The following is a 12242-nucleotide window of genomic DNA, read 5'->3' as shown; positions in this document are numbered from 1 at the left end:
TCGGGTGCCGGGCCAGGTGCTTGGTGGAGAGGAAGGGCGTCCATGGGGCTCTGCCTGGCAGACCGCTGATGACACGCCTGGATCCATCCCTGCCCCACCCTCAGACACACCCGTATCTACCCCCGCCTGTCCTCAGGCCCGTATCTGTCCCTGCCCGCCCGTCCTCAGGCCTGTATCCATGCCTGCCTGTCCTCAGACACACCCGTATCCACCCCTGCCTGTCCTCAGGTGTGTCACATATTTCAGAAGCTCATCAATGCCTTCAAGATCCTCAAGAAAGAAAGACCAAACCGATTGCCTTTACTGGAATTCATGATCACAGATCTAGAAGCCAGGTAACTCTTTGTAAGAAACACTGTTCATTAGCGTGAAAGCTGTGGTTTCCTCTTTTCCATCTGCAATTTTTGTGCCATACGTCAAGTCTATGCAAGTTCAGAGACCCACGTCATGGGGCCACATATCCACAGCTTTCCGTGCAGCTCCAGAAAGCTCCAGAAGTTTCCTGAGCTTGCTTCAGACTTTCTTTGAGAAGTGGACCTTCCATCCACATGTCCCGTCTGTTTGGCTTAGAAAGTCAACTTCAGGGCCTTGGGAAGGGCCTGGGAAACCTTTTCCTCTAAGTCTGTGGTGTGTCGGTATAAATTTGTAGGGAGTGTGTTCTTATAGCTTTCACAAAACCCTTGCGGCAGGCACGCCTCCCTTATTGCCATTTATCGACGCCCAGGCTGGAGTGCAGTGGTGCAATCTCAGCTCACCGCAACCTCCGACTCCCTGGTTCAAGTGATTCTCCTGCCTCAGCCTCCCGAGTTGCTGGGATTACAGGCATGTGCCACCATGCCCGGCTAATTTTTGTATTTTTAGTGGAGATGGGGTTTCACCATGTTGGCCAGGATGGCAACGCCGTCTCTTCTAAATCAGAATCACAGGCTCCAACGCAGCAGACCTTTTCAAGGAGCTGGCTTTGGTTTACAGACCCCAGCAACACGGATTTCTGCCTGACTCAGGCTTTCCTTGTGTTCTGCTTCATCTTTGTGGAGCTCCCTGCATTGGCGCGAGGGCAGCCCAGGGCCCTGCTGTGGCTGCTCCGGGGCGGCGGCCTCATGCCTGTGCTCTCTGCCTCCCTCCCGACCTTGCCCTGGGCCCCCCAGCTGCAGCGTGTGAACAGCCCAACGCTTCAACATGGGTTTCTGTTCCACTAGTGAGTCAAGTAGGAGAGGGTTTTTGAATTTCCGCCTGGATACTGTTCCACTAGTGAGTCAAGTAGGAGAGGGTTTTTGAATTTCCACCTGGATACAGTGCCTGGGGTGGGGCTTGTGAGTTTCTGATTTTATCACATGCGATCACAGAATGAGGCCCATATGATGTTGATTTTCGAGAAATGCTCCGAAAGCGTTTCTCCGAGCATCCCTGGATGAACACCGGGGAGAACAGCGGCAGCCCAGCCGCAAGCCCTGACGCGGCCCTGGGGCTTCTGACTCCAGGCCCCAAACCGTCCCTCCGTCAGGTGCCTGAGCCTGCGGGTCAGAGTTGCGCAGCACTCAGCGGTCACTGAACCCACAGAGTGCTCGTTGCTACTGAAAGAGATGGATGATGGCCTGTTGGAAATTGAGAGAAAGTTTATCGACTGTGGCTGCAAAGAGAATTGTGTTGACGTAAAACTAGAGCGTGCGAAGATCAAGAGGTAAGGCTGCCTCCACGACCCCTGCACGGGAGTCACTGCTTCTCTTACACACAACACGCCCAGCGCCATCCTGCCTTCTGGGCCTGGCTCACCCCGGCTGCACCCCCGCGGGGTCCACAGGACCCTCCCCTGGGAAGCTCTCGGCTGCCGCCTCACCCACACGTTCTGATCACATGCCCAGCCCTCCCCGTCGGGGGAGCCCCCGTTGCCCCTGACAGGGCCTCCTTCTGGCCCCAGCCCTGCGGCTGCCCACACCTTCCTCGAGGGCATCCACATTGGGCCTTGCACCTCCAGCCCTTGGCAGACACGCACAGACATACAGCACCACCCACCCCCACCAGCCACAGGCACACGCGCATTGCACACACATGCCCAGGCCCAGGTCACACGTGCACATCCCGAGCACAGCCCTGAGCTGCTTGCAGGGCCCTGACCTCAGGAGGTGGCCCTGCCCTGCATGGCTCTGTAGCGCGGCCGCAGACGGCATCTCAGGGGCTGCTCCCACCGAGGGCAGGGCCAGCACAGCCCTGATGCCAGCCGTCCCCACCACAGCAGCTGCCAGCCACTCCCACCCTGGCAAAGCCTCCCTGGCCCCGCCCACAGCCCTGCCCCAAACCTGGGGTCGCCCCCAGCAAAGCCTCCCTGGCCCCGCCCACCGCCCTGCCTCCAACCTGGGGCCACCCCCAGCAAAGCCTCCCTGGCCCCGCCCACCGCCCTGCCTCCAACCTGGGGCCACCCCCAGCAAAGCCTCCATGGCCCCGCCCACCTCCCTGCCCCCAACCTGGGGCCGCCCCCAGCAAAGCCTCCCTGGCCCTGCCCACTGCCCTGCCCCCAACCTATGGCCCCCGGACTTGTCCACACGCAAGCGTCTCGACACGGCGGGCCCAGTGCGGGCGTGTAGAAGCCTGCGCGAGGGAAGCATAACCCACCACAAGGTCTGACCTGAGCCGTGTCTGTTACTGTGGATGTCGTACATTGTCCTTGCAGAAGTTCAGTTAGCTGATCAGACCCAGCCCGCTGGGTAAAGCTGATGCTGTGGAATTGCTTCAGCAAATCTCCTTCAAGCGCACACTTAATTTTTATAACCATAATACACTGTACATACTGCATTATTCCAGCTTCTTAAACCTCTAAGACGTATCGAGGATGTCTTTACATGTTAGCTATTTTAAAACATCATTTTAAGCACTAATAAAATATACAGTATGATAGAAAATGACATATTAAACATTTAGTAATAATAACATAATGTTTTAAAATTCCATTCTTATGTCTTATAAAGGTTACGTGCCCAGAACGAGAAAGATGAAGAACAAAAAACTGCGTATTACTTGGAAGCGTATGGCCTGGCCCAGGGTGCCGTAGCTGAGGAAGAAGGGAGGCTTCACAGCATCCAGGGCTTATATGGCCTGGCCCAGGGCGCCATGGCTGAGGAAGAAGGGAGGCTTCACAGCGTCCAGGGCCTATTGTCACTTCAAGACGTAAGCAGGTGTCCTGGTTCCTGTGCACACTGGGTCACTCCCACCGGGATATAAACCCCACTGTAACTTACCTTACAAGCCAGCTGACTTCTGCTTCTAGCTGAAATGGAATAACAGGGATCAGATACTCCCCCATCTGAAACAACAAAAAAACAAACAGTGTATGAAACAAAGACTTTGAAAACACTAGACGTCAGCAATGACAGGCAGTGGTCCCTGAGCTAAGGTCCGAGCTCACCACGGCGGCTCAGGTGGAGTCCGCTGGTGACCTGAGTCACAGGATGGAGCCGAGAGCCTGGGGAGAGCCAGGCACTGCCACTCATGGGACAGAGCCCCAGGGAGGGGAGGGCAGGAGAGGGCTGCACAGAGAGAAAACCCCAAGACCTTCGAGGGAGGCCCCGGAGTGTCCTACCAAGGACTAATCAGCACATTCTTGAGAGGAAGCTACCCCATGCTGGGGAAGAACCCACCCAAAAGGGTTCTAGGGTGGGAACAGCACCTACTTCACCAGCCGGATTGGAAAACCTCATGATCCCTGGGGCATCGGGCAAAGCAGACACAGGGCCTTGCCTCAGTCGGGGGTCATTAGGCCTGGGTGAGCCCCGCTCCAGACCTGCCTGAGAGACCCTAGAAAGCAGACCTGAAAGGACCCAGCTATTTCCTTTGAGAAGATAACTGTCCCGGAACAGAGCCCAAGCCTGAAGAACACATACAGGAATGCAGAAATGCCCACCAGACCCCAAAGGAAGACAAAGCCCAAATGTCTGGCAACCGATAAAATATTGCCGTATAGAAAAGCAGGAAATTAGGAAGAATAATTGATCAATCAAAAGCAAATTGATCAATGGGCACAGATATTATAATTGGAAGACAAGTTATCACTGTATTCTGTATGTTCAGAAAGTTAAGTAGAAATGGTGAAGATGTAAAAGGAAGAAAACCCAAACTTTCAGGGTGAAAACCACAACACAGGAGATGAAGAAGGCACCAGGTGGGGTGAATGACAATGATGGCAGGAGAAAACATTGGAGAACTTAGAGACATAGCAACAGAAACTTTTAAAAAGAGAAAATGAAATTAAAAAGAACAAAAATTAAAGTCACACAGTTTTAAGTGCACGAATATAGGTGTAATTGGAATCCTGGGAGAAGAGGAGAAAGTAGAATAAACAGAATAATTTGAATAACTAATGACTGAAAATTTTCCAAATTTGATAAAAATAAATACAAACCCACAGATCCAAGAAGCTGAATGAGTCCCAAGCACAAGAACTAGAAAGAGGAATGAAACTATATCAGGGCACACCATAACCAAACACTTTAACACCAGTGCAAGAAGAGCATCTTAGCATCAGCCAGAGAGCACTGTGTGTTGTGTGCAGAGTGGCAGAGGTGAATGGCGCAGCTTCCTGCAGAAGCAGTGTAGCTGAGAGCCCAGCGCAGGGACCTCTGTGAAGGCCGAGAGGAAACACTGCCAACCTGGAATTCTGTACCCAGAAAATATGATTCTTAATGAAAGTGAGATAAAGATGTTTCTCCAAACACTCGAGAGCTGAAGGAAGGCGTCCTCAGTGGCTGAGCCCTGCAGGAGCTCTTGGAGTCAGTCCTGCAGGCAGAAGGAAGCCACACCCACTGGAAGTGTGGATCCACACAGGTGCATGGAGAGCCTCGAACACGTAAACTCCAGGGGAAATTGTGTCCAATTCTTCTTCTAAAAATCACTCTAAAAGATAATTGGCTGCTTAAACAATAATAACAATGTAGCATGGGGTCTCTAACATGTAAAAATGTACGACAACAATAGCATAAAGATTGGGAGGTCAGTAACAAATGCAAGGTTTCTATGCTCTGCGTGAAGTGATATCATACACTACATACCAAAACAGCCACAGAAATACCAGAATACAGATGTATGCTGCATGAGCCAAGAAAGGAGATAAATGGAAATCATAACAAGTATTCATTTGTCCCCCTGAAAGCAGAAAAAAGAAAAAGAATAAAGGACAGGTGAGACCAACAGAAAATAAACAGCAAGATGATAACCTTAGACCTAATCATGGAATAATCACATGAAATTTAAATAATCAGAACACCCTCAGTTAAAAGAATCTATCAGATTATATAAAAAAGCAAAACCCAACTATGGGCTACCTACAAGAAAGCCACTTTAAATATTAAGACATAAATAGGTTAAAAGGAGAAGAATGGAAAAAATGTACCATGCTAACACTAATGAAAAGAAAGCTGGAGTGGCTATATTAACAACACACACAGCCGATTTTGGAAAAAAGAATATTACCAAGGATAAACAAACTCATTTTATAGTGCAAACGGCTCAACCAGTCAAGAGGCTATAAATGCAAACATTTCTGTAGCTAATAACAGAGTTTCACAATCAATGAAGCAAAAACTGATAAAATAAAATTGCAACGGAGAAATAGACAACTCTACAATTACAGTCAGATTTCAGTTCCTCTCTCTCAGTGTTAATAGAGTAAGTAGCCAGAAAATCAGCAAATCACTAGAAGATTTGAACAACACTACCAACCAATATGACCTGAAGATATTTCTAGAACGTTCACCCAACAACAGCAGAATAAGATGCTCTTTGTGTGCACATGAATATGTTTCAAGATGGACTGTATTTTGGACCATAAAACAAGTCTCAATAATTTTAAAAGATTTAAGTTATATAAAATATGTACTGGTGCCACAATCTAAATTAGAAATCAGAAACAGAGAGATAGATAAATCCATAGAAACAGGGCAAGGAGGATAAGGGATGATTTTTTAATGGGCGAGGGGTTTCCTTTTGGAGTGATGAAAATGTCGTGGAATTAGAGATGATGGTGGCACAATGTTGTGAACGTGTAAGTGCCACTGAATTGTATATTTTTAAACGGTTAATTTTGTGTTATGTGACTTTTACCTCAATTAAAAAAAACCAGAAAGCTGGCCGGGCACAGTGGCTCATGCGTGTAATCCCGTCACTTTGGGAGGCTGAGGAGGGCAGATCACGAGGTCAGGAGATCGAGACCATCCTGGCTAACATGGTGAAACCCCATCTCCACTAAAAATACAAAAAATTAACCAGGCATGGTGGCGGGCGCCTGTAATCCCAGCTACTCGGGAGGCTGAGGCAGGAGAATGGCGTGAACCTGGGGGGGAAGAGCTTGCAGTGAGTGGCGATCACGCCACTGCACTCCAGCCTGGGCGACAGAGCGAAACTCCATCTCAAAACAAAACAAAACAAAACAAAACAAAACACAGAAAGCTATGTATGCACGAAATGCCAAAGATTTGAAAAATAAATAGCAAATGTCATAATAACTGTGGGCCACAGAAGAAATCAAGGGGGAAAGTATTTTGAACTGAAGGGAATAAAAAAACACCTATCAAAGTGTTTAAGATGTTGCCAATTCAATACCGAGATGGAAATTTACAGCACTAAACACCTGTAGGAGAAATGGGAAAAGATTCAAATCAATTACTTCAGCCTGCACCTTACAAAACTATAAAAAGAGCAAACTCAGTTCCCAAATAAGCAGAGGAATAAAAATTAAAGATCTGAGGGGCAATCGATCAGTGAAATAGAAAACAGAAAAATAAAAGAGAAAAGTAATGAAACCAAAGCTAGTTCTTTGAAAAGATCAGTAAATTGAAAAACTTCTAGTCAGACGGATCAGAAAAAAAAGATGACATAAATTACCACTATCAGAAATGAGAGACACAATTTCTCCATGGATTCTACAGATATTGAAAGGATAAGGGAATCATATTACAAACAACTTTATGCTAATATGTCTGCCAACTTAGACGAAATGGAAAAATTCCTTGAAAGCATGAACTACCAAAGCCCACTCAAAAAGAAAGAGATAGCCTGAGTAGCCCTATATATTTTAAATTTTTAATTTGTAATTAAAAACATTCTCACAAAGGAAACGTCAAGCCCAGATGGCTTTACTAGTGAATTCTGCCAAATATTTAAGAAAAAATAATACGAGTTCTACACAAATTATTCTAGAAACTTGAAAAGGAGAGAATACATCCCACTTTTTCTATGATACAAATATTACCTTGATACCAAAACAAGATAAAAACATTAACAACAACAAAAAGCTACTGACCAGCATTCCTTGTGAGCAAAATTTTAGCAAATTAAATCCCACAATATATAAAAAGGATAATACATCATAACCAAGCCAAGGTTACCCCAGGAATAGTTTAACATTCAAAAATTAATTAATTTCACCATATTTTTTCAAAACTAACAAAAACCATATGATCATCTTTGTGGATGCAGGAAAAGCATTTGACAAAATTCAACACCCATTCCTGGTAAACACTCCTAGCAAACAATTAATACAGGAAAACTTCCTCAACCTGATAAAGGACATCTATGAAAAAGCTAGAGCTAACGTCACAATTGTGGGAGAAAGACTGATGCCCCCTTTCGATAAGGACGAAGACGAGGATGTGCCCTCTTCTCACCTGTGTTCCGTGTTGACATGGGAGTTCCGGCCTATGGAATCCGGCAGGAAAAAAGGAAATTAAAAGCATCCAGATTGGAAAGGAAGGAATGAAACTGTTTTTATTCACAGATAACATAGTTGTCTGCATACACAGTCCTATGCAATCCACCAAAAAATAAAGCTACTAATGCTGAGTTTTGTAAGGTTGCAGGATATAAGAACAATATGCAGATATCAGTTGTATATTTCTACATGCTAGAAATAATCAGACATTAAAAATTTTGAAACAATTTTATGACAGCATTTAAAAATGAAATCTGTCCCAAAAATGTGAGAACTTGTACTCTGAGAACTACAAAAGATAACTGAGAAAAATTTGAGAATACCTAGGTAAATGGAGAAATGCATCATGTCTGTGGATCAGAATTTGAGAATGCCTAAGTAACTGGAGAAACATACCATGTGTGTGGATCAGGATCTGAGAATGTCTAAGTAAATGGAGAAACAGACCGCGTCTGTGGATCAGGATCTGAGAATAGCTAAGTAAATAGAGAAACATACCACGTCTGTGGGTCAGGATCTGAGAATGTCTAAATGCAGAAACATACCACGTCTGTGGATCAGGATCTGAGAATTCCTAAGTAAATGGAGGAACATACCACGTCTGTGGATCAGGATCTGAGAATTCCTAAGTAAATGGAGGAACATACCACGTCTGTGGATCAGGATCTGAGAATTCTTAAGTAAATGGAGGAACATACCACGTCTGTGGATCAGGATCTGAGAATTCCTAAGTAAATGGAGGAACATACCACGTCTGTGGATCAGGATCTGAGAATGTCTAAGTAAATGGAGGAACATACCACGTCTGTGGATTGGGATCTGAGAATTCCTAAGTAAATGGAGGAACATACCACGTCTGTGGATCAGGATCTGAGAATTCTTAAGTAAATGGAGGAACATACCACGTCTGTGGATCAGGATCTGAGAATTCCTAAGTAAATGGAGGAACATACCACGTCTGTGGATCAGGATCTGAGAATTCTTAAGTAAATGGAGGAACATACCACGTCTGTGGATCAGGATCTGAGAATGTCTAAGTAAATGGAGGAACATACCAGGTCTGTGGATCAGGATCTGAGAATTCCTAAGTAAATGGAGGAACATACCACGTCTGTGGATCAGGATCTGAGAATTCCTAAGTAAATGGAGGAACATACCACGTCTGTGGATCAGGATCTGAGAATTCCTAAGTAAATGGAGGAACATACCACGTCTGTGGATCAGGATCTGTGGATACCTTGCACATGAATGTTGGCAGCAGCTTTATTGGTAGTAGCCCCAGAACTGGAAATAAAATATTTGAATAGATAAGCAGGGTGTGGCGCGTGCACACGGTGCACCGACGCCGGCTGTGAGAGGGAAGGAGCATGCGTGCAGCCGCGTGGGGGAGTCTCACGGTGACTTTACCGAGGAAAATGAACCAGACGGAAAGACAGCACTCTGTGCGCCTCCACTTAGGTACGGTTCTGGAAAATGCCAAGGAATGCAGGGTGCCGGCAGGCAGCTAGGTGACCGGGAGGGAACATGAGGGGACGCGAAGAGATTTGGGGATAAGGGCTACTGCATTATCTCGAAGGTGGTGATGGTTTCACGGGTGTATTCGTGATCAAAGTGTGTCAGTTTTCCACTGTAGATCTGCGCAGTTTGTTATGAGTTTCTTACGTCGGTTATGCCTCATCCAAGTTGTGGGGATGTAGATTCAGGCTTACCAGAAGCTTCCATGCTTCAGAGGCATGCCTGACCCCCTCAGTTGCAGAACGTCAACACGCCCCTGATGAGGAAGCTGGCGCGCCTCAAGCTCGGCCTCGTGGAAATGGCTCTGGACATGCTCCAGTTCATCTGGGAGGAGGCCCACGGGCAGCAGAGTGAGCAGGGGTCCCTGGAGAAGCTGCTGGCGGACTATCTGCAGAACACCAGTGACTACACTTCCGTCGGCCTGGTAATTGCTGGGGTCACAGATTCCCGGTGGAGGGAGCGCCAGGCCACAGTGCAGCTGATGGGACCCCCGTTCCAGCAGGAGCCGTCTCCACCACTGTGCACCTGGCGGTGCGGGTCAGCTGGGGACCTCTTGCAGCAGGGGGAGCTCCCGGGCATTGTCTCACCATTTGAGGAGACTGAATTGGCTCATGAAATCGAGGTCCCATTGCAGGGGTGTTTCCTATATGACCCACAGCTGCCCTTCCCGACTCATGAATTTGCTCTAATTAATTCGTATTAATAATTAATGCATATGTGGATTAAAGAGCTCAATAGAGGTGGACTCCATTTTGGTAAAAAAAAAAGTTGAATATGTAGAATGTTTTGAGGGAAATATACATTCTTCCATTTTGAGTTTTCTGAGACTTCATGAAACATGACTCAAATTAATTTACATAAGTATAAATGGACCAAAGACGGGCCTAAAACTGATTTGTCAGTGAGCTCTGAATTAAGGTTCTATGAGCAGACGTCTGTGACCCCCACACCAGAGCCCTGGAGACCCTCCCTGCGGGGCAAGGCTTTCTCAGAGCTCCCCAGTGTTCCCACCCACAGGGCACAGCAGAGGGCGGGCTCACTGGGTCCCCTGGGCAGGGTGGGCGGTTGCCCTTGGGGTGGCAGCTGTAACATGTCTGTCTTTTCGAAGCAATGGTTCACGCTGAAGCGGACTCTAGCACACGGGGCACTGGCACAGCTGGGGAGCCTGCAGCCGCTGAGCGTGGGCTGTGTGGAGATCCGCGCCCGGCTCCTGGGCCTGGCCGGGAGGGCCCTGCACCTGCTGGCCATGCAAGCTGACCCTGTGCACCCTACCTGCTACTGGGAGGCGGGCCCCTCGGTAGGTGCTCCTGCTTCTATCCCAAGTCTGGCTCCAACACCAGTCACCCGTGCCTGAAAAACACAAGCGAAGTGTTTAGGACTCCTGTGATTGCAGCAGTGGCCCCAGGAAGAGAGAAAAATGTAGGAAGTAGGCGTGAGGGAAGAAATGGGGCTGGCAAAACTCAGGCCTTCCGGAACAGACCTGGGAGGGAAACACAGTGTCTGTGGAGTAGGCAAGGAGGGCAGGCGGGCACTTGGGTCGGCCCACAGCAGCACAGAGCCAGCCCGCCCCAGCACGCGGCCCGCCCCAATCAAGCCCTGTGCTGGCGAGCGTGGAGCAACGCAACTGGTGTGTCCCGCAGCAGCGGCTCTGGCCAGGCCCCGCACAGGGACCTGGGGAGCTCAGAAGCTGCAGGAGCGGCCTAGGGTGGGCCTGAGCACCGGGCGCCGTGGCCCCCATGCCAGTGCACAGCAGGGCCAGCCCTAGGCAGCCTTGGCTCCCCTCCATCCCCCACCCCCTACAGCCCAGGGAGGCTGCTGCCTCCATGCCCAGGTGGCTCTGAGAAGGGCGGTCGGGACCTTCTTCACTCTCAGCCCAGGGCCCACCCTTCTCCAGAAGGCTGCAAGGCTGCCCAGCTGGGCTGAGTCAGCTGCAGGAGTGACCTGCTCCCTCAGGACCCTGGTGATGGCCCCTACAAGCCACGCAAGGCCCCAGGTCACCTTCCTAAACACTTGTGCAGATGCCAGCTCCTCCCCCGGAAGGCACCTGCCCCAGCAGAGAAGCTGGGCTCGTCCCCACACACCAGCTCCTAAGGAAGATGCCCTCAGGGACTGGAGCAACCACGCCATATGTGCCTGGCTCCATGCCCAGGGCAATCCCCCCACCAGGTGCCGTGCAGCCCTGGGTCGGCCCTGAAATGTCTGTCCTGCGTCTTCAGGACCTAGCACAGGACTTGATGTACCTCGAGTGAATTGATGGAATCGAGGCTCTGCATGCAACCAGCCTCCATTGGCCTGCTCAGGTAGCGGGTGGGTGTGGACCAGAAGCGAGGGTCGGCAGGGCCTCCTGTGAGCTGCGTCCTCATCCATGAATGCTGCTGATGGTGCTCCAGCGAGGAGGGGCCAGGGCAGAGCAGACGTCAAGTCCCGTGTGGAGGGCGCAGGGTTCTTCCGCGGCCCCCGCCCCATGCAGGCCAGGCCGGGACGTACCTGCCTTTTGCTGTCCTTAGATATGATTTATGTTGTTGTCCAGCTTCTTGAAATCAAAGCTTAAATCAAGGTTTTTCTGGGTTTTTTCTTGTATTCAAGGCTGTATTTTTCCTCTAACCCCCGTTTTAGTCTCCCAAGTTTTGATACGTAGGATCGACACGGTCTAGGGTTGCTGGTCACGTTGTCTAAGGTGTTATCCGAGCTCGTTGTCCATCGTCTCACAACCCAGAAAATTAAGGCGCGTGGACACAGGGAGAAGTTGCAGCGAAAGTTTAATAAGTGAAAGAAAAAAGCTCTCTGTGGCGGAGAGGGGGCCCGAGTGGGCTGCCATTTTCACAGTTGAATCCAAACGCTTTGATAAGAAAGTCCGCTGGTCTCTTTCGCTGTTCTTGTGACTTCCTTATCTGTGCCGCTGCGGGTGTGTCTTTAGGGAGCACAAAGCGCAGCCTCTCTTGTTTGTGCAGCTGTGGGTGTGTTTTGGATAAGCCCCCACCCCCTCCCACAACCCATGCAGGTTCCCTCGGAGCCCACCGTGTTCATGCCT

The 12242-nt window shown here is 49.1% G+C and overlaps 1 protein-coding gene and 1 non-coding gene across 19 annotated transcripts in view, besides 2 other annotated features; one reads left to right on the top strand and one right to left on the bottom strand.

The window, feature by feature from the left end:
* The window catches only part of CFAP46 (cilia and flagella associated protein 46), a 134179-nt gene that overhangs the window by 81819 nt on the left and 40118 nt on the right, over nt 1–12242 (top strand). For 13 of the 15 annotated variants that reach the window (XR_007061969.1, XR_007061970.1, XR_007061971.1 and 10 more), the window contains exons 37-41: nt 229–335; nt 1505–1681; nt 2964–3162; nt 9447–9635; nt 10320–10508. Coding sequence is in view for 12 of the 15 variants with exons in the window: in NM_001200049.3 (NP_001186978.2) it covers nt 229–335; nt 1505–1681; nt 2964–3162; nt 9447–9635; nt 10320–10508 (861 nt within the window). In the remaining 3 variants the exon portion in view is untranslated. Of the gene's footprint in view, nt 1–228; nt 336–1481; nt 1682–2963; nt 3163–9446; nt 9636–10319; nt 10509–11427; nt 11545–12242 lie in introns of those variants that run through there. The other 2 variants (XM_047425395.1, XM_047425396.1) reach the window with 2 other exon arrangements.
* Nucleotides 1490–2020: an enhancer, noted in NCBI's record as "H3K27ac-H3K4me1 hESC enhancer chr10:134672236-134672766 (GRCh37/hg19 assembly coordinates)". NCBI's record gives its function as "activates a minimal SCP1, AML or CMV promoter by ChIP-STARR-seq in primed H9 embryonic stem cells {active_cell/tissue: H9 hESC(primed)}" and the evidence as "EXISTENCE:reporter gene assay evidence [ECO:0000049][PMID:30033119]".
* Nucleotides 2021–2552: an enhancer, noted in NCBI's record as "H3K27ac-H3K4me1 hESC enhancer chr10:134671704-134672235 (GRCh37/hg19 assembly coordinates)". NCBI's record gives its function as "activates a minimal SCP1, AML or CMV promoter by ChIP-STARR-seq in primed H9 embryonic stem cells {active_cell/tissue: H9 hESC(primed)}" and the evidence as "EXISTENCE:reporter gene assay evidence [ECO:0000049][PMID:30033119]".
* On the bottom strand, nt 3057–12100 carry LOC105378571 (uncharacterized). 4 transcript variants are annotated; one of them, XR_007062347.1, is made up of 4 exons: nt 11452–12100; nt 9104–10561; nt 8242–8980; nt 3057–3298 (listed from the first exon to the last, which is right to left on the bottom strand). It is a non-coding gene; the product is annotated as an uncharacterized LOC105378571 (transcript). The 4 variants fall into 4 exon arrangements; XR_946497.4 differs by having other exon boundaries at nt 8905–8980; XR_007062346.1 differs by lacking the exon at nt 3057–3298 and having other exon boundaries at nt 7727–8980.

This window comes from Homo sapiens, chromosome 10 (genome assembly GCF_000001405.40).
Source record: "Homo sapiens chromosome 10, GRCh38.p14 Primary Assembly".
NCBI classification, from domain to species: Eukaryota; Metazoa; Chordata; class Mammalia; order Primates; family Hominidae; genus Homo; species Homo sapiens.
Note: the sequence above shows the minus strand (reverse complement) of the source record. Positions and strands in the feature narration are given on the sequence as shown.